At 50.8% G+C, this 22,129-nt stretch overlaps 1 protein-coding gene and 1 long non-coding RNA gene across 10 annotated transcripts in view, besides 3 other annotated features; one reads left to right on the plus strand and one right to left on the minus strand.

The window, feature by feature from the left end:
* The window catches only part of RASGRF1 (Ras protein specific guanine nucleotide releasing factor 1), a 130,875-nt gene that overhangs the window by 14,280 nt on the left and 94,466 nt on the right, over positions 1-22,129 (minus strand). For 6 of the 9 annotated variants that reach the window (NM_001145648.3, XM_017022456.3, XM_017022455.3 and 3 more), the window contains 5 exons: positions 21,555-21,615; positions 17,506-17,609; positions 16,004-16,088; positions 10,822-11,019; positions 6,435-6,514 (listed from right to left, as the gene is read on the minus strand). In NM_001145648.3, coding sequence (NP_001139120.1) covers positions 6,435-6,514; positions 10,822-11,019; positions 16,004-16,088; positions 17,506-17,609; positions 21,555-21,615 — 528 coding nt within the window. Of the gene's footprint in view, positions 1-417; positions 5,022-6,434; positions 6,515-10,821; positions 11,020-16,003; positions 16,089-17,505; positions 17,610-21,554; positions 21,616-22,129 lie in introns of those variants that run through there. The other 3 variants (XM_017022458.3, XM_017022457.3, XM_011521866.4) reach the window with 1 other exon arrangement.
* Positions 2,587-2,736: an enhancer, noted in NCBI's record as "active region_9928". NCBI's record gives its function as "activates an Ori minimal core promoter by ATAC-STARR-seq in GM12878 lymphoblastoid cells {active_cell/tissue: GM12878}" and the evidence as "EXISTENCE:reporter gene assay evidence [ECO:0000049][PMID:35858748]".
* Positions 2,807-2,916: an enhancer, noted in NCBI's record as "active region_9929". NCBI's record gives its function as "activates an Ori minimal core promoter by ATAC-STARR-seq in GM12878 lymphoblastoid cells {active_cell/tissue: GM12878}" and the evidence as "EXISTENCE:reporter gene assay evidence [ECO:0000049][PMID:35858748]".
* Positions 2,987-3,076: an enhancer, noted in NCBI's record as "active region_9930". NCBI's record gives its function as "activates an Ori minimal core promoter by ATAC-STARR-seq in GM12878 lymphoblastoid cells {active_cell/tissue: GM12878}" and the evidence as "EXISTENCE:reporter gene assay evidence [ECO:0000049][PMID:35858748]".
* Positions 4,704-11,741, plus strand: LOC100129540 (uncharacterized). The gene is made up of 2 exons (NR_148998.1): positions 4,704-5,138; positions 10,277-11,741. It is a non-coding gene; the product is annotated as an uncharacterized LOC100129540 (long non-coding RNA).

The raw sequence follows: 22,129 nt of genomic DNA on the forward strand, positions 1-22,129 counted from the left end.
GGTTGATGGAGCCTGTGATGGAGCCCGGCGGTCGTTATGTGCCGGCAGGGCTCCCTTTAGCTCCTTCTGGGGCCTCCTCCCCAGTGCTCTGCCGCCTCCTCTCAGCTCAGCACACAGATGCGGTGGCATCATCGAGCACAGTGCAGTGACCCTTATTCCCAGCCCATCTTACCTTTGTCTCTTTGTGGCCACCTGGCAACCCTGCTAGCCTGGAGGAAGGTGAGGCCGGGAGGATGATAGAGCAAGAGCAGAAACCTGGCCCCTGTCCCTCACCTGCCTGCTGTGTGACCCTAGGCCAGGTCTTTCCCTCTCTGGTCCTCAGGCTCCTCATGTATAAAGCAATGATAGCAGCTAAGACAGTTTTAGGTGGTCTCACAGCTGATTTACAGGCACGATATTAAATAACATGAATTCACGTGGTAAGAAACATTGGATTTTTACTTTTTTCCCTTCTGCTCAGGGAGAGCGCCTCATTTGGTGATAGTGTGACTTTGACACTTTTGATACTTGCCATTCTCCTCCTTTCACATTTTCTCTTTTTAGACAAATAGCAACAGGTGTCAGAATCAGAGTGTTGGCAAACATCAGTATTTGGCCAGAATTCAAAAACATTATTTTGTTTTTACCATATATTTTTAAATGGCATTCTTGTATTTACAGCAAGTAAGCTGGTTTTCCATTTGCCATGATACAAAATTTCCTTCTTATTTCTTTTTGGGAAAAAGTGAATTAATTTAAAGAGGCTGTTAGGTAAACACAAATACAGTTGGCACAGTATGGCAAAGTCGTGAAGGAGGCAGAGGCCTGGCGTTAGGGACACAGCAGACAGAAGTGTTTTTCCAAATGTAGGGCTGACCCTTTCATGGGTGTTGAAATCAATTTAGAAGGTGTAGACCAGAATTTTTAAAAAGTGAAAAAGGGCCGAGTGGTGGCTCACTCCTGTAATCCCAGGCAGTGGGATTTGAGAGGTTGAGGTGGGAGGATCACTTGAGTCCAACGGTTCAAGACCAGCCTGAGCAACATAGTGAGACCCCATCTCTATTTAATTGAAAACAAATAAAAATAACAAGTGAAAAAGAAAATATCTGACTTCATCAAATGAAATAAAGGTATATATTGTTTTGTGGAATTTTTGTTCCTGTGATGCATATATGCATTTGTATACAGGCTTGTAGTTTCAAATATATATATTTACTGTGCTTTGTGATTAAAAAAAAAAAGAAAAGAGTAAGGAGCATCCAGCCACTGGAGGGGCTGCTTTGCATCCTTCCATCCCTTCCAGTCCATGATTATTACATGCACAGGTCTTCATTTCCTTCCTTTCTTTTTCTTTTTTTTTTTTTTGAGGCAGGGTCTCACTCTGTTACCTAGACTGGAGTGCAGTGGCACAATCACAGCTCACTGCAGCCTTGACTTCTCAGGCTCCAATGGTCCTCCTGCCTCAGCCTCCTAAGTAGCTGGACTACATGCATGCACCACCATACCCAGCGAATTTTTGTATTTTTGGTAGGGACAGAAATTTTGTATTTTTGCCATGTTGCCCAGGCTGGTCTAGAACTCCTAAGCTCAAGTGATCTGCTCGCCTCAGCTTCCCAAAGTGCTCAGATTACAGGTGTGAGCCACTGTGCCCGGCCAGCTCTTCATTTCCTTTCTATCATACTCCAAGTCTGAAGCCCAGGCTTATGAGTCTGATGGAGAAATAATCCAAAGATCTGAGAAGTAACTCTGGAGTCGTAAGGCTGTGGCAGTGCTGACCGGTGGGTTCTGAGAGGTGCTCTCCCCCTTCACCCTGCATGTGTGACAGTAGCCAGGTAGCCGTGGAGTGCTCTAAGGATGGAAGGGAGAACGGGAGGCCTGGTGACTGCAAGCTGACTGCAAATGACCAAAGGACTCAGAGTGTTTCTCAAGGCTTTTGGGGGTTTCTGACCACCCAGATCAGTGAAAAGGATCAGAGGTCCTCTGATCACTGAGGGTCGACTTCCCCTGGTATTTATGGGGAGTCATGGTTCAGCTGTGGGAAGGTGGTGGATTTGCAATCGAATCACTTGCAAGTAGCACGCCCAGCCCCAGTACTAACCTCTGTCCCTATTTACTACCTCTATGGCAGGGGTGGCCAATCTTTTCGCTTCCCTGGCCGCATTGGAAGAAGAATTGTCTTGGGCCACACGTAAAATACACTAACACACTAACGATAGCTAATAAGCTGGAAAAAAATCACAAAAAAATCTCTTAATGTTTTAAGAAAGTTTACCAATTTGTGTTGGGCTGCATTTAAAACCATCCTGGGCCATATGCGGCCCTTAGGCCACGGGTTGGACAAGCTTGCTCTATAGTGAGGGGCCATGAAGGAGGGGACAAGAGAACACTCAATCAAACACACACACACACACACACACACACCCATCCGAAATCCAGAGCCATGTGGGCAAATGTATGGAGTTGCCAGATTGGGACAGAGGACTGCTGGAGGGCCCCACAGGGACACACGGCATAGGGACTGAGCCACACCGAGCCTCTGAATGAAAAGGGAAGCATGTTGGGGCTTCCTGCAGGCAAGACACCCAACAACAGGCAAGTCCTGAACCTTCCATATTGGCCTTTTGGCCTCTCTCGGGTGAGGTCCAGTCTTGCCCTTGGCAGGGCCTATCAAGCAGAGCTGATACGGGGGTGGCTTCCTCTTCTGGCAGAGCCCTCACGGGCCTGCAGCTAGCATTTTAGGGAGCAGAGAGGAAAGTGTCCCACCCCTAGCCTGAAAGCTGCTTCTGGTTTCTGGGCAAGGCCTCGCTGTCGCACTCCCATGCTGGTGACACCTGGCCTTGCCTGTGGTTGTTTGGAGCCCCCAAACTGGATGTTTCTTTCCACCAAGACGCTCCTGATGATGTTAAATGGAATAAGGGAGATTATGGGGGACCAGCTGCTGCTGGCAAGAGGCAGCTGCCCATGCTCTACACCAAACTCCAGGAAACCAACCCGAGACAAGCAATGAGTCCACCTCCCCTTCCTCTTTCTCTCCAACTTCTCTCTTCCCTGTACTGCCCTGGCTGTGGGATGGGCTATTCTCTCTTACAAGTTTCTGCCGGCTGTGGTTGGGGATCTCCTCTCTCCCATCTTGAGGCCTGGGGAAGGGCATTCAGGGAGGGCATGAGGGCCCTTGAGGCTGGGCTGTGTGGGCTGAATCCCCTGGGGCCAGGGTCCAAGGTTCTGGCACGAGGTACAGGGTGATCAGGTAAGTAGTCTTTGAAAAACAAAACTGCGATGGGGTGGGGGTGGAAAGTCCCATTTTACCACTGGGTTGCTAGGCTGCTCTGTGGTCACAGGCAGAGAATAAAGATAGAGATAGATACTTGGCTTTGCTGGAACCCCTGAGACTCTAGAGCTCAGCCTTTGGGCTCATGACATCCATGTAGATAAATTGATTCTCACCCTGATTAAAGGGTATAGGGGATGGCCTGGCAGTCAGCTAGCTGACACGCTCCTCCATGGCTGTTCCCATCCTTAATTCAGGGGAACAAAGGGGAAAGGCTTTCACTGCAGCAGCCTACAATAACAGCCTGTCCCCCGTGTTCCTCTAAATCAAGGGCTTCCTATTCAAATTAAACACAAAAGGTGCAGATATGCAAGTGTGTGCTCGGTTGAGATTAGACAGGGTAGTCAAAACTGGAATCGGCCCCAAAAATGCTGGTGACCACATTTTGCTACTAAATTCAGTTTTCAACCAAATTCTTGTTGCCTGGAGCTGGGGGAAGGTTCCGATTGCTGGGAGGTTGGGAGGAGGGAACAGGCATAGGACTTTGCCAGTATGTAGGCTTGGGGAATGAGAAGGGGAGATGAGGCCACTCTCAGGGCATCTGGCAGGGACTGAAGGGGCACACATAGTTAGGGCTGTTGCAGGTGGGGCAAGGGACATTTAAGAGAGTGGCTAGTGGGGTGTTTGGTGGTGAAGTCTCGGCTGGGAAATGCAATAAGGCCATTCTCCAGCCTGGATGCTGGCAGAAATTGGATATTTTTTCTTCTTTTTCTTTTTCTTTTCTTTTGTTTTTTTTTTTTTTTTTTTTTTTTGAGACAGTCTTGTTCTGTCACCTAGACTGGAGTGCAGTGGCACGATCTCAGCTCGCTGCAACTTCTGCCTCCTGGGCTCAAGCGATTCTCGTGCTTCAGCCTCCCAAGTAGCTGGGATTATAGGCATGTGCCACCACGCCTGGCTAATTTTTGTATTTTCAGTAGAGACAGGGTTTTGCCATGTTGGCAAGGTTGGTTTCTAGCTCCTGACCTCAAGTGATCTGCCCACCTCGGCCTCCTAAAGTGCTGGGATTATAGGCATGAGCCACTGTGCCTAGCCCGAATTGGATATCTTAATGAAAAGCTAAAAAAAGATGCCTGGGACGTATGAATGGGCTGCAGACCAACATGGTGAGGCCCATAGCAGGACTCCTTCTCTGGGGAGGTCATTGGCTATGCCCATGGACTGCCACCTCGCTACTCTTGCCCCCGTCCCCTGCCTAGTGAAACAGACGCTCAGTATTCATGCAACACCGCTCTTTGTGAAAACCTTAGAGCCTCAGGAGAGGGGGTGCGGGAAGCATTTGCCCCAGGTTTCCCCAGTCCCTCCCTCCTCTGTGTGCCCTGCCTATGTCTCTGCAAGTCCAGAACCTGGTTTGCATAAAGCTCTTAGCTTCCAGAGGCCCGCAGGCCACCTCTGCCCTGTGCTGCAGGGAGCAGGGGAATGTGGGAGAGACACTTACACGGGCCCACAGGCCACCTGAAAGAGGGAAGACGGTCAGGGTGGGGACTCAGACAGAATGGGGGGCCCCAGAGGCAGTGGAGGCAGCGGTGGTGGCGGCGGCAGACGAGGAAGCCAGCCATGTGAGGAGGTGGATGGAGTGGTGCCCCGGGGGCGGACGGACGGACAAGTTGGTGAATGCACGGAGGGGGCAGCTCCCCACAAGCACAGTCCACAGGGGCTCTCGGGAGCCCAGGCAGAAGAGAGACGGCTGGACAGCACAGATGGGTGCAACATCTGTCTGAGGACACAAACAAAGTGGAGATGGTCAAGGCGATGGCACACAGAGCTGGCAAAGGACAGACCAAATGCGGCAGGAAGAAAACGCAAAGAGGAGGCAGACGAGGCTGGCAGAGGGGTGAGCAGTCTGTCAAAGCCACTGTCAAGGGCTGGAGGTTTTGGCTGGCCCCATCCTCAGGGTCTGGGGGTAGTAAACTCTGGTGTTCCCTGCGTCAGCCGTGATCATGGGAACACCAGGAAGCGGGGAGAGGCTTCCTGAGCTATATAGGGAACCGGGACCCCAGGGATCTCCCAGGGTCTCTCCAAGGTCTGGCGAGTAGCCAGTCAGGCGAGGAGAGGAAGGAACACTCACTCAAGGAAAGGAGGGTTGAGACTAGTGCAGAAGCCTGAGTAAGCACCTAATGAGAGTGACAGAAGCAAACCCCCCACTTCATGTGAGTGTGTGGCCACAGTGTGTGCAGATGGGCTGAATCACTGCTTCCCTGGGAGAGCTCGTCTGGAGCCCAGGGCAAACCTTGACAAGCTCTGGAGGCCAGCCTGGGCCAGTCCTGGTGCTAGGCCACGGCCATGTGGCCTTGGACCGTCCACGTGGCCTTGGACCAGACACTAGCTCTTCAGTTTCTTTGTCTGGAAGAACAGGATGCGGGAAGCAGCCTTATCCTGATGGTTGTCAAGTGGGGAGGATTTTGCCCCCTAGTGGACATTTGGCAATGTCTGGAGACAGTTTTGGTCGTCACAACTTGGAGGGGTGCCATTAGCATCTCACAGGTAGAGGCCAGAGATGCTGCTAAAGATTCTACAATGCACAGGACAGTCCCCCTCAACAAAGGATCATCCTGGTCAAAACAGCAAGGGTGCTGAGGCTGAGGACCCCGCCGTGTGGGCAATGTTGATGGCGTTAAGCGCACAATGTCTAGGCAAGTGCTTTACAAACTTTAAGTATGATTATTGTAAAACTGTATTTTTTTAATTCCCGGATGCCATTGTTTATAAAATGCAAACATTTTGATGATGAATTCTGGAGTGAAAAAGGAAACACAATTGTGTTAAATAAACAAAACTGACGTTAAGACGTCTCCTGATGTCAGAATTATTAAAATGTGAAAAGAAAACGTGCATTTTAGAATCGAGAAATCTGGCACCACTACTATTATCATCACAGCTACTATGCTTTCAGGGATCCCAGCAGTATTCCTGTGCTTCTCTCAGGAAATGCTAGCAAACTCTGGAGTTTCTCTGGCAGACCATGGAGGACTCCACCATTGGGGTCCAGGAAATCTAGGGGTCTTGTGGGTAGACAGACGAACAGACAGACAGAAAGACCTCCTGCTCTGGCTGGGGGCGGCACGTGAATGCCTCTGCAATGCAGGTCTATGATTTTAAAAATAACAGCGACAAAACGACACACACTTACTTTTTCAGAGCTTCTCTGAGATTCTTAAATCTGCCCTCAGATGACACAAGCTTTTGGAGCTTATCAATCAAAGCTTTAGTCTAGAAGGAAGCAGAAGCATTTACTAACACACAGCACACGCTGTGATCCCCGAGGCCCGGGGATCAGGCCCACACTCCAACATGCTGCCCAACAGGGCTCCAGAATTGCCTTCCCTTGGGATCTGGGGGCCTCCTGTGTTTGGGCACCTTGCCCCTGAACTCCTCAGGAGTTGGGCACGGGTCCTTGTTGAGTGTGCCTGTGCTCCCACATCTCTCAGAAGCAAGGAAGTGGGTGTGAGGGACCTGAGTGTGGATTTGGCCCTTGGAAATGCTGCAGGATCCCGAGACCTGGGCAGTTTAGAAGGACTTAGTGGGTGACTCCCAGGAGCCTGCGCTCAGAGCAGGAAATGGCAGATTTTTCATTTTCCTGATCTTTCTCATGAACTAGACCCAAAGGATGTGACCGTCATTTCACACGTTCCCCTTTTCACACCAGAAATGCCACCCAAATTTAAGGATCAAGAAAAAAGATGGGAGACGAACTGATCATCAGAAAAGAAAAGGCCTGGCTGGAGAAGAGGAAGCTCCACAGCAAAGGGCTTTGCCAAGCGACCTCGCCAGGCCCAGCGCACACATCAGGCTGGAGCAGAGTTTCGGTGGCTGGAGTTTGTCTGACCCATGGAGCACCCCGGGTCAAGCCTGGCTTTGTGCACCTTTCCCTGTGTAGCCCGAGGGAAGGCCCTTTCCCTCAGGGGTCCTCAGCTCCCTCATTGATAAAATGGTGAGATAGGTTAGAGACTTCCTTTGCAGCTCTGTTCCTCAAGATTCAGAATGTGGCTGAGAAACCGCGGGAGCACAGCGGTACGTCACGCCACCAGAGCCCTAGTCAGCCTGGAGGGGACACAGGCCCCGGAGGCCAAGCACACGCCCAATCTTGGGGTCAGATTTCTGCTGAGAAATTTGTCTACTGAGAAGGACAATCTAAGTCTCCATTCTGACAGGAAGAGATCTGTGTGTGCTCTTCAAGGGGAAAGAAGGGCTGAGCGTACCATTCAGTTCCATGCCTTATCAACAAGTAGAAAAAGCCTCGCCACCTGGTGTGGACTAATCCTGTTCAGAGCACAGCTGTATTCTGGATCTGGTGAAAGAGACATGCAGCAGAATAGCACACACCACACGGAGTCAAGGCAGATGATTCTGCTTTCACTTGAGATGTCTGCTGTCCGATGACTGGCAAAGGCTGGATGCCCTGGCCCACCTCCGTTCCAGAGTCTCAGCTTCCCTCCTGCACTTGCCCCTTTCCAGAGCAGCACCCTCCTTCCTTTTCTTCTCCATCCACCTGCAGAGGAATGACCTGATACGGCTTGAGGTCAGAGGCGGGGGCTGAGTCAGGAAACCTAGGGCCTCCCCAGCCTCTGTCACCTATCCCTGGCATGCCGACTGGCAAATCACCACTCCTCTTGCCTTTATGGGCCTCAGTGTCCCCATCTGGAAAATGGGAGGGTAAGTCCAGGTGTTCCCTAAGGCAATACTAGCTCAGATACTCTAGAATTGTGGAAGACACAGAAGCTTGATCAGGAGGTCCCAGTGGCCATGCAGTTCTAGATGAAGTGTCACCGTACTCTGAGGCTGTGAAAATGTGCAGAAGATATTCTGGAACCAATTTGTGGCTCTGGGCTGGGCACGTTTTTAACTTCCTCCACATCCCCGTGCTTGCTGTGTATGGATGCTCCTCTTTGGGTTGTCATGCTGTCTCCAGGAAGGAGCTCTATGGCCTGGGAAGCCACAGAATTTTCTCAGCTGCTGCTTAAAAAGTATGTTCCAAGTTGAAGCAGTTCAAGCATCTTCTAGCTGGGCCAGGAGCTTCTATCCTGTGATGCTCCATGGGATACCAAGCCTCTGGGATCTTGGGTGTCTCTGTTAGAGTGTGGACACCAGCAGGCAGAAATGGGGGGCCCTTGGAATATGGGATTGAAAGCAGGAACCAAGCAAGGACCCTTGGAGTCAGTGTCAGGAAGAAAGATGATTTTGTGGTCTCCTAAATTCCATCACTTCCTGTTCACCAAGCAGAGGACTTCTGGCTGGACAAGAATGTTCCCTCCCAGAGAGGCCAAAATCGATTGTTAGCCAAGGCGAGGCTTTTGTCTCCACTAAAGTACAGCGATCCCCAGGAGAGGCGACACACAAATCCACGTTAGTCATTGTACTGTCGTATGGAAGAGTATCATCATCAGATCGTCTCTTGGGTTTTTTTTTTCCCCAAAGAGGATGGGGAGAGGGGTTAAAAGAAGAAAGGGGAAATGAAAAGTCCCAAATGAAATCCAACTGCCTGACGCTTGCCAGGGGCTGAACCAGACTTGGACATAATGCTTTTCTGCTATGGTGAGCACATTTAAGTGAGCAGTAAAAACTGGCTGCTGAGGTTACAGTTCAGGCCATCTAAGAAACGTGGCCATTTTAGAGGGTCTCCAGTGTCCATGGGACGCCTGTAGAGAGAGAATGAACTGCCTCTGGCAGATGCCGAGCAGGCCATGGCCAGGAACTTCCAGAAGCTCCTGGGGCCAGGTGCTGTGCAGACACACAACTCTTACACGGCTGGGGGCTGCAGAAGACAGCTGGGTCCAGACTGCATAGAGGGTGGAGATCTCATGTGGTGCCAAAGGTATTTTTGATTTTTGGACCAGGCCAGCTGACCCTAGGTCCAGAATGACATCCTAGAACACAGGCTGAATCACATGCCCTGACCACTGACTGTCCTTGATTTGCACTCTCTGTAGAGAACAGAAGATTTCAGGATGGCCAAACTCATTCCCTCCCAACTCCATGAGGAGGGCAATGCAGGAGAGCAAGACCAAGAAATGCAAGGAGTGTGGGTTCCAGGAAGCCTAAGTGGGGTGGGAAACTGAAGCCTGGTCTGCAGGGCCTCTGGAAAAGATGATGTCATTCCCAAGAACAGGGGAGAAGGAGAGAGAGATTTACTTGGAATGGGCCCCCAGACTGTGGCAAGGGCCCTGCCTGAACCTTGACAAGCCAAACGAGGTTGGGTGACTTGGAGGTTTTGCAGAGCCTTGCTCAACACTTGCCTCCACGAGTTCATGACAGCATGTACCATGTTTGGCTAGATGTGCCTGCAGCTCTGAGCTCCTGTGCTCCTGAGCTCTGCTCTTTCCTGGAGCCCACAAACAAGAGTAGCATCTTTCACGGTCCTTGGCCCTAAGCCTGGCATCTCTGTGTGCCAAGAAGCAAGAGGCCCAATCCCACTGGGTTGTAATGGGGTGTCCCTGCATGTTCTGTAGTCCTGCTGTCATCAGGGGCTGGAGTGACCAGAAGGTGAGGGAAGGGTAGCAGAGATGTCCCAGATGAGTTTGGCTGCTAAGTAGGGAGGATTATGGACATGTCGTCTGCTTGGTGGGTGGAATCATGACCTGCCATTGACATGAGGAGGGTAGTGAGGAGCAGGTGATAAAGAGAACAATGAGGGGGACACAGTATGCAAGTCCAGAGTGGTCCAGATGAGACAGGGCCCTTGGAGCCACTGGGTCCCACACAGCCCACCCAGCGTCAGGATGACAGACACTGCTGCCAAGGGATTGTGCTTGGGGGCTTGCCCTGTCTACTGGGGGTGCTTGTCTGGCCTCCTGCACACATGCAGGCTGGGGTGGGGGCATCCACCAAGTGCACCAAGGAAGTGGTCCAAGTGCCTCATTGTCCTCTCCTATAAGGAGTGCTGGTCCCTCCTGACCCCAATGCAGGCAACTTCATTCCTGAGGAAGAATCTATCTTATGGTTTTATGTTCATGTTTTATGTTTATGGCTTTTCAGGTTCATGTTCTGAGTGAAGAGGGATTGAGCACACATTTAAGGTGATCAACTAGCCAACACGTTCCAGGAAGCAGCTAACTCTCTGTGGCCAGAAGCGCAGGTGAAATTAGAATCCTGGGAAGGGGCTTGCAGGATCATCTGACGGAAGTGTCCTCTGACGGAAGGGTCCTCCGATGGAAGGGTCCTCTGATGGAAGGGTCATCTGACCACTGTCTCAGCTGCCCTGCAGATCCCCATAAAGCCACCACTCTTGCCCCAACTCCAGAAGAAAAATGTTGGGACCAATAATCACCATCATATTCTTTCCACTTTGAGGTATTAATTACTCAAGTGGGGATTACAGTCCAGGTCTCACTGCCATATCTGTGGGCCTGCTATCTGGTCCCAGGTGATATAGGGGAAGCTATTCTGTTTTACCTGGGAGTGTTAGACCTCAGCCCAGTACTTTGCCCACTTGTGGATGCCCAGTGGCCAGCCCACGGGTCTTCCTGCCCTAGCCCCAATCCAGCCCCAGGGAGGCAGTGGTGCCAGCCTCCTGCCCGCACCTGCTTAGAGACTTTGAGCCACGTCTTTTTGAGCCGGAAGATTGCACTGCGGTTCATGGACGAGGTGATCTCCAGTACGGCATTGTAGTTGTGGAGGCAGCGGCATATGTCAGCTACGGCCACCCACTTCTCGATGGCGCTCACCCTGGCGTTGATGTCCTCATTGCGGATGATTTCTGAAGCAATCAAGTTACTGATCTTTAAGCCGATGCAATAAGACAGGGAAAAAGAGGAGTAAGTATTGCAAAGATGATAAATGGTCACTATTTGCAGATATGATTGCCTGCTTGAAAATACAAGAAGGAATTGGAAAACTACGAGAACAACTAACAGAGCTTGCTAGGGTTGCTGGCTAAAGGTTCAATATACAAAAATGAAAAGTTTATATATACATTAGCAATAATCAATTAGAAAATACAACAAAAATACAACCTTCCAAATAACAATGGGAATCTGTAAATACCTAGGAACTTAATGAGAACTATGTAGGATGGAAAAAACAGGTCACCAAAGGATATAAAAGGCTTGAATAACAGAGAAAGAGATCAAATTCCCAAATGGGAATGTAAATATGTCATTTTTCTGACAACTAATACATGTGTTTAATGTAATCCAATAAAACACTCAGGCCAGGCGCGGTGGCTCACACCTGTAATCCCAGCACTTTGGGAGGCCGAGGCAGGCGAATCATTTGAAGTCAGGAGTTCAAGACCAGCCTGACCAACATGGTGAAACCCTGTCTCTACAAAAAATACACACACAAAAAAAATTAGCTGGGCGTGATGGCGCATGCCTGTAATCTCAGCTACTTGAAAAACTGAGGCAGGAAAATCACTTGAACCCAGGAGGTGGATGTTTCAGTGAGCCAAGATTGCGCTGCTGCACTCCAGCCTGGGTGACAGAGCGAGACTCCATCTCAGAAAAAAAAAAAAAAAAAAAAAAAAATCTGAAAACAAACAAACATACAAAAAACCAAATACCAACGAGAGCTTTCTCTAGAAAAGTAATTATAGACAAAGTAATTCCAAAGTTCATCTGGAAAAATAAACAGTTAAAAGGTGCCAAATTCTGAGGGAATCTACCATCATACAACTAGAGCTTGGACAGGACACACTTTGAAGCACTGCTGGTCTCACATACACAGTAGAAGATATCTTCAAGGACTCCATCACCTGGCCAAACATGACACACACATGAACAAATCAAATGTAGGTTGGATCTGGAGCAGCTGGGGATGGGGGTGGGAAGCTGGGGCTAGAACATCAGGGAATTAGAATTGCAAGGAGCTGAAACAGCAGGAAGCAGTGGGCTTTCTGGTACATTCTTTTGCAACTTTCTAAGACTCTTTTTTTTTTTTTGAGACAGAGTCTTGTTCTGTCGCCCAGGTTGGAGTGCAGTGGTGTCATCTCGGCTCACTTCAACTTGCACTTCCTGGGTTCAAGCGATTCTCCTACCACAACCTCCCAAGTAGCTGGGATTACAGGCACACACCACCATGCCTGACTAAGTTTTGTATTTTTAGTAGAGATGGGGTTTTACCATGTTGGCCACGCTGGTCTCGAACTCCTGACCTCAAGTGATCTGCCGGCCTTGACCTCCCAAAGTGTTGGGATTACAGGTGTGAGCCACCGCGCCCGGCCTTTGTGACTGTTTAATTATTTTAAAATAAAAAGTTAAAAAAAAGACTACTACTTTAAAAAAGGCGATAAAAGGACATTTACAGATGAATTAAAAATTACAGGGCTTTATCGCTAAGAAATCTTCTCAAAAACAATTTCTAAAGGATGCTCATCAAGAAAAATGAATTGTAAAACTACTTAAGAATGGAACTACTACTTAAGAGAATCAGGAAGGATAATAACACAAAGTAGTACATGTATTATACCTCTTAATTAAATTGAAGTAGTAGTTAAAATTTTTTTCCATCAAGAGAACATGGAACTTAAAAAGAATTTTATATAAAAGTTATACTAATTTTTGAAAGAAATAGATCAGTCAAATCTTCCAGAGAAGAAGGATAAAAGGAATATCTTCCAGTTTATTCTATGAAGCCAGTATTACCTTGATACTGAGACCAGAGATGGATAATATAAGAAAGGAAAATTACACACCCATTTGTTTAATATACCATGACCACATTGGGTTTGTCCCTGGAATGCAAGGATGATTGAATATTAGAAAAAAAGTATAATTGTCATTTACTATATCAACAGAGCAAGGGAGAAAAACCATATGACCATCTCTATGGATGCAGAAAGAAATATTTGATAAAATTCTGTATTTATTCATGGTTAAATCCATTAGCACCCAAGGAATAAAAGATAATTAAAAAAAAAAACCTGGTAAAGGAGCAAACATCATTCCACATGGGGAAATATTAGAAATATCTCCTTTAAAACCAAGAAGGTGGCCGAGTGCAGTGGCTCACACCTGTAATTCCAGTACTTTGGGAGCTGAGGCGGGTGGATCACCTGAGGTCCGGAGTTTGAGACCAGCCTGGGCAACATGGTGAAACCCTGTCTCTACTAAAAATACAAAAATTACCTGGGTGCAGTGGCATGCACCTGTAATCCCAGCTACTCAGGAGGCTGAGGCATGATAATCACTTGAACCCAGGAGGTGGAGGTTGCAGTGAGCTGAGATTGTACTACTGCACTCCAGCCTGGGCGACAGAGGGAGACTGTGTCTTAAACAAAACAAAACAAAACAAAAAAAACCAAAAAACCCCACAAAAAACCCAAGAAGGAGACACATGATCACCATGTCCATTCCATGCTGTTGTGGAGAGAGACGGGACTAGGGTGAGGCAGTTGAGGTGTGGGGTACAAGTGCAGAAGGGCGAGTAGCTCCTTCGATTTTGCTCTCTGGGAACCTTGCTTGCCTTACACCAGTACCCCAGCTTGGCCATGGTCCTGAAGATCCTGGCCAGTACCAGTTAAGAGGACAAAGAAATTAAAGGCAAAAGGACCAGAAAACAGCAAATAGAACTGTGCCAGGGAGAGACGAGGAAAATCATTGTTGTGCCAGCACACATCCTGTGTATCAGAACCAAATGGTGGATTTGAACAGAGATGGCCAAATGCCAGGTCGTTACAAGGGCAGCTTCTGAAGTAGACCGTGTGCGTTCAAAATTGTACTCTGCTGTGTAATGTTGGGGATGAAATTTCCCCTCCTCAAGCCTCAGTTTCTTCATCCACAAAGTGGGCATGGCAGGATTAAATGAGATGATGCTTTTGAAGCACAGCGTCTAGCATGGGGTGAACACTCAGTGAATGCTCACTTCATATTCTTGTCTTTCACTTGCTCGACTCCTGGGCACACAGTGGGACAGGGAAGGGAGGGGACAGTGATTTGTTGCCTGGTGCTGTAAGGTGTGGTTGGATCAGGCCTCTGTCAGGTTATGTTTCCCGAGGCTTGGTCTCTGTCCCTCTTTCTCTCCTGAGAGGCACACGAGTCTCCTTTCTGCTGCTGTGCTCACTGCAGGAACCACTGGGTGCCCAGGCCTAGGAGGCCCCAAAGGGCTCCTCCCCTGAGCTGCAATCTCTGGGTCTTTCTTGTTTCTTCTAGGCTGCTGAGGATCCTCCCAGGATATGGTGTGCTGGCGGCTGGGGTTGGTAGGATGTGGCCCTGGCCAAGGTGGTCAGGGCAAGTGGAATCATGTGCTCCCACCACCGGCCCTCAAAGGCTCTTTCCTCGTGTTGATGATTAAACTCAGAAGAATGAGGATGCTGAGTGCAACTGTTCTCAGGGCTGTCACGAGGCTGGGAGTGGACCCGGCTCTGTGGTTCAGGGGTTGGAACTTGCACACATGTGGGGAAGTTGCTGGGAGGGAGTTTTTTTTTTTTTTTTTTCCTCACACAGCTGATTTGCACTGTGTAGCAATGGAAGCCATGAGCTACCACACACCAGTTAGGAGACCTCAGCATTTGCCCTTCCAGAGTCTTGGTTTCTTTGTACCTAAAAATGTGAGGACAGCCCCCATCTTTTAGTTGATGTGAGCTTTCAATGAGATTACTATGCACAAAAAGCTCAGTGCTAGGCACAAGGTAGGCACCCGGTTAGGGGGCAGTGGATATTCTTATTAAAGAACATTGCAAATGCTCCCTGTGGATGTGAATTGTGCCTCAGAAGGCTCTGGGACCTGTCTGCCCCCCAGTTCTCTGCTGCTCCCATGTTTCTCTGAGGAGGGATTCTGGGAGCTGGGGGTGTGTGATGCACCCATCTGAACTTAGTGTGCCAATCAGAGTCAGTCCAGGCCCTTTGAGCTGCTTATGCCAGGCCAGTTTGCAGGTCCAGTGCTTGGTCCCATCTCAACAGTTCTTCCCCAGGAAAGCTGGGGCTGGGAGGTCTAGAGAAGGGGGCTGGAGGAGCTGGATATTGGGCCATCCTGATCCTAGCCAGGGAGATTCAGGAGCCTTAGTCTCGCCCAGCACTGTGGCCTCCTAACATTAAAGAGAATGTTTAATTAAACATTCGCTCAGCACTGTGGCCTTCTAACATTAAAGAGAATGTTTAATTAAACATTCGCTCAGCACTGTGGCCTCCTAACATTAAAGAGAATTAAACATTCTCTTTAGTGTTATCCCAAAAGACCATCTTACCACAAGAAAGGCAAGAAGAGGGGCAGCGAGTGGGACATCATTGCCAGAGTAGCTGAAACAGCCAAAACCTTAGGAGATTCCGAGGGTTCTGGATAATGTATGAATTAGAGGGAAGCTGTCTGCCATTGTCCAGCCAAATATTGCTTGTTGCTAATACTGAGATGAGGTTTAAAAATAGGAAGCATAGCAAGGTCTTCATTCCTTTCCTTCTAATCCTTCATTCCCTTCTGTTCTCTTTGCCACAGACTCCGCAAAAACCCTGCTCCGAGGAGTAACCCCCACTTAGGAATCACAAGTTCTGGGTGAGGGCTCACAGCGAGCCAATGCTGGGCTGAATGTCTTTAGATGACCACGCAGTTAATCCTCCTATGACTGTTCCATGGTCAGCCCCACTTAATAGGAGAAGAGACTGAGACTGAGGTGAGGCAACCAGCCCGAGGCCACATGGCAAGGGGTGGCAGGGCTGGAGAGGACCCAGGAGTCTGGTTCCAGCCAGGTGTATAGCCCGTTCTCTACCCAGCCTCTTGAGCGTCTTGCCAAAGAAAAACCCCAGTGAGAGAGGCGCTCCCATCCATACTCACGTCATTGAAGTGCTTAGTGGTTTTCATGATATAAGGGGTCCTTTCATTCTTTTCCAGTTTCATCCATCCTTGTCCGAAGAACTCCCTGTAGGAAGTAAGGGGAGACCCAGGTGGAGGGGGTGAGGTTTGCCTTGCTGATTTCATTGCTCCATGCTTTTTATTTTATTTTTTGGCTTTTTGAGGCTGTCATTTCTGGGGGAACAACCTTCTGCAGAGCCCTGGAAGGAAGGAACCTTGGGCTCAAGTCCAGCTCTGCCTTGTCGCAGCTGTGTGGCCCCAGACAAACCCTTTATAGCTCAGGGCTTCAGTTTCCTTATCTGTAAAATGGGAATCAAGACAATCCTTTCCTCACAGGTTTACTGGGAGGCTGAAATAAGGTGTGGGAAGGCACACATGGTGGAAATAATTTGTTATGAATCTTGTTTTCTGACAGGGAGAATTCACATTTTAGTCACTGCAGCAGCTGGTCTGTAGGATGAGGGAATAGAAGGCCCTAAAAGGGGGCAGATAAAAGGCTTAAAAAGCCTGCAAGCCAAGCCACAGGCTCCTGACATCATAAAGTGACAGGGAGAGGGGACCTCGGCAGAGTCCTGTGGGCAGAAGGGGCCGGGGAGGTGATTTGTGTTTGAAAACACATCCCGCTTCTCCTCCTAGAGGGACATATCAGGAATATCATCTGTTTCTATGTCCAGGAGATGTGACAGGTTTCCAAAGTGCCGACCCTCTCTATTTACACGAGGCAGCACCCATGCTGGGGAGGGCTGCGAGAGTGCCAGGTGGGGCTGAGGCCAAAAGCCCCACAATGATTCAAATCCGGTGAGCCCAATTCTGGGAAACCATTCTGGGACCATTGTTAGGAATTCAGACATATTTGTTGCAAGGATGTTTACCGCAGGGATAAATATAAAAGTGAAGGCTGAAAACACTCTCGTGGCTTAGTAACACACTGTTAGAGAATGCTGTGTACTTATTAAAAATAGTGTTTACAAATGCCCTTTTGGCATAGCATCAGATGAAGGAAGAGGGATAGAAAATTACATAAGTAGAATAATTGCAGTGAACACCAGGGATGACTGAGGCCAGAACAGGTAACAGCAGGCCTTGGGGCTTCTTCAAAGTCCACGCCTGTCCCCTAAATCAGCTACTGGAGGTCACTGGACCTACACACGTGCCCACGCTCTTGCCTGTGTGCACAGTTTCTCACAGGTACATGTGCACACACACATGAACACATGCTCTTTTCTAGATACTCTCTTTCTAGGAGCTCTGAGTTAGAGATGATTCCAGAAAAGTGTGTGTGTGCAGCTGACAGGTAAGGAGAGAATTTGGTGGGCAGGAACGGGAACAGGCTTCTCTCCCTCATTCTGCTGACCCAGGCACTATTGTTTCAAGCTGTGGAGGGTCCGTGCAGCTCTGGAAATTCACTGCGTGTGCTTCCAGGGTGCTGTCCAAGACAGTGCCTGAGGAAGCGGGGGGAGGCGGGTGGTGCCTGCAACACTTACTCATAAGGAATCTTCTTGAAGACGAGGTGATCTAGCAGGGTCAGCTGCTCCGCGATCTCCAGGGCTGAGTGGTTTTCAAAGGGCTCAGCCTTCACGCCTTCAGCCTGGTTTTGAGTTGGGGGAGCAACATTTTGAGTTAGGCCCATGACGGACACCTCCTGGATTCCCAGCTGCCTCTGTGGGGGTATCTCGCCCTCGAATTGGGTGGGCGGGTGGACGGGGTATGACGCTGCCTCGAATCTGATGAGAGGGTGGATGGAGTATGATGAGGGGAGGTGGAGGGAAGGGGACGGAGGGAGATGGGCCCCGCCCTGTTGTGCCGGTGTGTGCAGCCCAGTGCTCGGACTGCCCTCACCCACCCTGCCAGGGAGCTCCCAGCACGTGCATGAGACAATGGAGGCTTCCAGAGGTGAGCCACTGGCCCAAGTTGCTAAGCTGGAAGTGGGCTGACTAGGACTGGAGCCCAGGTCGTCTGACTTCAGGCTGTGCCTGGCCACTCCCTTCAGCGTCCGCCTGAGCCCACAGCTGGCTCTATACAATTTCCTTTTGAAACTAGCAGGTGTGGACTCCCAGGCGTGATTAGCTCCTGGGATGGCCCTGTGCTCAGAAGACAGCTGTCCTGCCTTAGTCCTGGGCCTTAGTCCGTGTCCCTGGCCCCCAGGGGCCACCCTTGGACACCATCATTAAGGGATTCCACTATTTGGGCCCTTCGACCAGAGAAAATCTTCAGGGAAACGTTAGCCAGAGGACAGTGGTGGCCACGGCAGGAGATGGATGAGTGGTGGACATAGGGAGGCCAGTGTATTGGGCACAAAGGCCTCGTGGAAGGTCTGCTGGATCTGAGTGAGGGATGCTGGAAGGCGGTGGGTAAAGGGACAACTGTGTTGGTCTTGGGAGGAGCCTGTTAGGAACAAGAATCCTCCCCCATCACCACCTCAGGACCACCTGGGCCACACAGGAGGAGAGCGGTCAACCCCTCAGGCAGCAGGTGCTCTGAGAGATGACTGTCTCGTGTGCCTCATGCCTTCACTTTTCCATGCTCACTTTACCCTGTCCAGAAGTCCCGGCTGGGCTGAGCACCTGCAAGCAGCCCATCTGCCGGGTCCCAAGGGAAGTGGGGCCATCCCTCCTAGACTAAGTGTCTCCCTTCCTCCCATTTCCTCCACAGACGGGCACTGAGGTCTGCACCAAGGCCCTTGCTACACGCTGAGATAGAAAGGCAGGAAACACGGTTCCTGACGTCAGGGATCTCCAGCCTAAGTGGTTCCAAGTCATGTGAATGGAGCGAGGACCGTGGAGAAAAACAGCCTCTGTGTGTGTGCCATGTGGGTGGTGTGTGGGTGGTGTGTGTGTGCCATGTGGGTGGTGTGTGGGTGGTGTGTGTGGTGTGTGGGTGGTGTGTATGGGGTGTTTGTGGTGTGGGGTGTGTGCATGTGTATGTGGGGTGTGTGTGTGTGTGGTGTGCCTGTGGGTGATGTGTGTATGTGGTGTGTGTGGTGTGGCGTGTGTATGTGGTGTGTGTGCGTGTGCCTGTGTGGGTGATGTGTGTGTGTGTACGTGGTGTGTGTGGTGTGGTGTGTGTGGTGTGTGTGTGGTGTCTGTGTGTGTGGTCTGGTGTGTGTGTGGTATGTTTGCTGGGTGTGTGTAGTGTATGTGTGTGTGGTGTGTGTTTGGTGTGTGTAGTGTGTGTGTGTGGGTGTGTGTGTGTGTTTGTGTGGTGGCTGTCGGTGAGTTTTTCCTGGCAGAGCTGCCCTGGGCAGGGAAGGGTGTGTAGAGAAACCCAGGTGCAGGAACATGGGTGTTGGGGGACATGAAGCCTTTGGGGACACAGAAAGGAGAGTGGCAGGGCCACTGGGATGCCGGGTTGTAGTGAGAGAACCCAGGCAGGGGATCCCCTGTGTGCTCACAGGGAGGGGACCCTCAGCCTCTGAAGCAGCTGAGTGAATAAATACAGGTGGGCAGCCCAGCCACCTTCCCATCTGAGGGTCCTGCCTGGTGCCCTGGGGTTGGGCTGAACTGCCAGGGCCAAGGGTGAGCTCAAGGGGCTGGGTGGCTTATGGCCCAGAGGCCCAGGCGCTGTGGGGCCCAGAGGCCTGCACTGGTACCAGAGGCCAGAAGAGGCATTCTGGCCAAGGTGGGGTGGTTGGCTCCTTCCGCTCACTTCTGGGGTGGCCTGGGAAAGAGGGTGACCCTGGAAGCAGAGATCAAAACTGACAACTTCCTCCACCTTTTATAGGCTTTTGAAAATCCTCACTGTCTCTAGTGAGGCCGCGGGGCCCTCTCAACCCGGATCTGCCCCACACAGGCTCTGGGGACAAGAGAGGGCAGCTCAGCAGCTGTTTGTTCTGGAAGAACCTCAGGCTGTTCACGAAGGAACAAGGGGCCCTCATGCTGTTGAGGGGTAAACATTCCAGGTGAGCCCCTGTTGGGAAACAGGAGCAGAGTGCAGTCGGCTTCCTTTCAGCTGCCGAGAGGAGTACTTCCGTCTTGGGGTTTACCCAGCATTCTGGCCCCAAAGGGTCAGTCTGGAGGAAGTAGGGTCTGGGGACCGTCAACCTCCCTGCCTGTGGACCACGTGTGGGTTCCTGGGGGCCCAGCCCTGCAGCACTGCTCTGGGGGCAGAGTGTGGGCAGAGTGCTTACAGCTTCATAGGTGCCCTCACCACTTCCAGGAACCAGGAGGGGAACATGGGAGGGGCAGGGGCAGCAGGGGCCCAGAACCCAGAGTCCCAAGTCCTCACGCTGGCTACTTCCAACAGACTGAAGGTCACTCAACCAGCAAGGGGCTGAGCCAGCATGGCACAATCTCTGCCTCTGGTGGGGAAGGTGTGGTCAGAGTGAGCCTGTCTTGAGTATCCCCAGCCGCTGTGATGCAGGGGCCAAGGGCTCTGGGGTGGCTTGTGATGGCATTCTGGGGTGCACATCACTGACTTGGAAAAAAGTGGGCTGTAGCTGGACCCTGGAAGTGCACAAGACCATCATTCCCTTATTCCGTCTGGAATGCCACTATGAGCTTGGATTTGTTCATGGTGAGCACAGCTCTGTCTCTGGGGTCCCATCATTTCTGGGCAGGTGGTGAGCTGCACTCCAACTTCTGGGGATGAGGCAGTGTGGTAGACGGAATGAGGGAGAGTTGTCGCTCTGGAGTCAGCCAGACCTGGGTGTGAACACCAGCTCTTATACCACCACTGGGGCCTCCCCTTGAGGCTTCGGAGGGAGCACAACCCTTCCAGCACCTTTTTTTTTTTTTTTTTTGAGATGGGGGTCTCACTCTGTCACCCAGGCTGGAGGGCAATGGCTCGATCTCAGTTCACTGCAACCTCTCCCTCCTATGCTCAAGCAGTCCTCCCACTTCAACCTCCCAAGTAGCTGGGATCACAGGCATGCGCCACCATGCCCGGGTAATTTTTTGTATTTTTGGTAGAGACAGGGTTTCACCATGTTGCCCAGGCTGATCTTGAACTCCTGACCTTAAGTGATCTGCCCACCTCAGCCTCCCAAAGTGCTAGGATTACAGGTGTGAGCCACCACGCCTGGCCTCCCTCTCACATCTTAATTTCAGACTCCAGAACTATGAGAGAATACATTTCTTTTTTCTTTCTTTTTTTTTTTTTTTGAGATGGAGTCTCGCTCTGTTACCTAGGCTGGAGCGTGCAGTGGAGGATCTTGGCTCACTGCCACCTCCGCCTCCTGGGTTTAAGTGATTCTCCCGCCTCAGTCTCCTGAGAAGCTGGGGTTACAGGCACCTGCCACCACGCCTAGCTAATTTTTGTATTTTTAGTAGAAATGGGGTTTTACCATGTTGGCCAGGCTGGTCTCCACCTCCTGACCTCAGGTGATCTGCCCACCTTGGCCTCCCAAAGTGCTGGGATTACAGGCATGAGCCACTGCGCTCAGCCCATTCCTGTTGTTTTAAGCCGCCCAGTTTGTGGTATTTTTTCACAACAGCCACAGAAAATGAATACGGGTGATGCCTGTGATGGGTCAGGGGTCCTGGGCAGGAGGATGGGGAGGAAAGCCTTGGAAAGCAAGAGGGCAGGCCCAGCTCACCATCTGCGTGATCTCCTCCAGCGTGATCTGGTTGTCACCTGGGTCCTCCTGGGTCAGAGTCCTAGGCAGGAGCGAGAAGGCACGGTGAGCCCCACTTCACGTTGCAGCAGCCCCTCCCCAGCTCGGACAGCCCCACACGGCCTCTGCTCTTACGCCCCTCTGTCCTCGTCATCCCCATTGCCAGGAGCACCCTTTCCCCTTCCTCCTTCACTCTTCTTCCTGATGGTCCTGGCGCTCCTGGCTGTGGGAGGTCCCCTTCTGGGGCCCTCTCAGCCCCTGGGCTTCCTGCATCTGGCTGGGTGGGAATGGCCTTTCTGCCACCTCAGGCAGGGAGCCCTTGAGGGAGGGACGGTGTCTGATTCAGCCCCATAGCTCTGGTGCCAGCACAGGACTGGACATTCAGCAGGCGCTCCTGCGAGCACATGGATGACAGGATGCATGACAGGAAGGAAGCACAGGGAGTGGGGAGGCAGCAGCATGGCAGCCACAGGCCCAGAGGAGGGACTGCAAGGATGGAATTGGGAGAGCAGAGGAGAGTGGTACACACGGTGGGGAATGAGGGTAGAGCCTCAAAG

The sequence above is a fragment of the Homo sapiens genome, chromosome 15 (genome assembly GCF_000001405.40).
Source record: "Homo sapiens chromosome 15, GRCh38.p14 Primary Assembly".
Taxonomy (NCBI): Eukaryota; Metazoa; Chordata; class Mammalia; order Primates; family Hominidae; genus Homo; species Homo sapiens.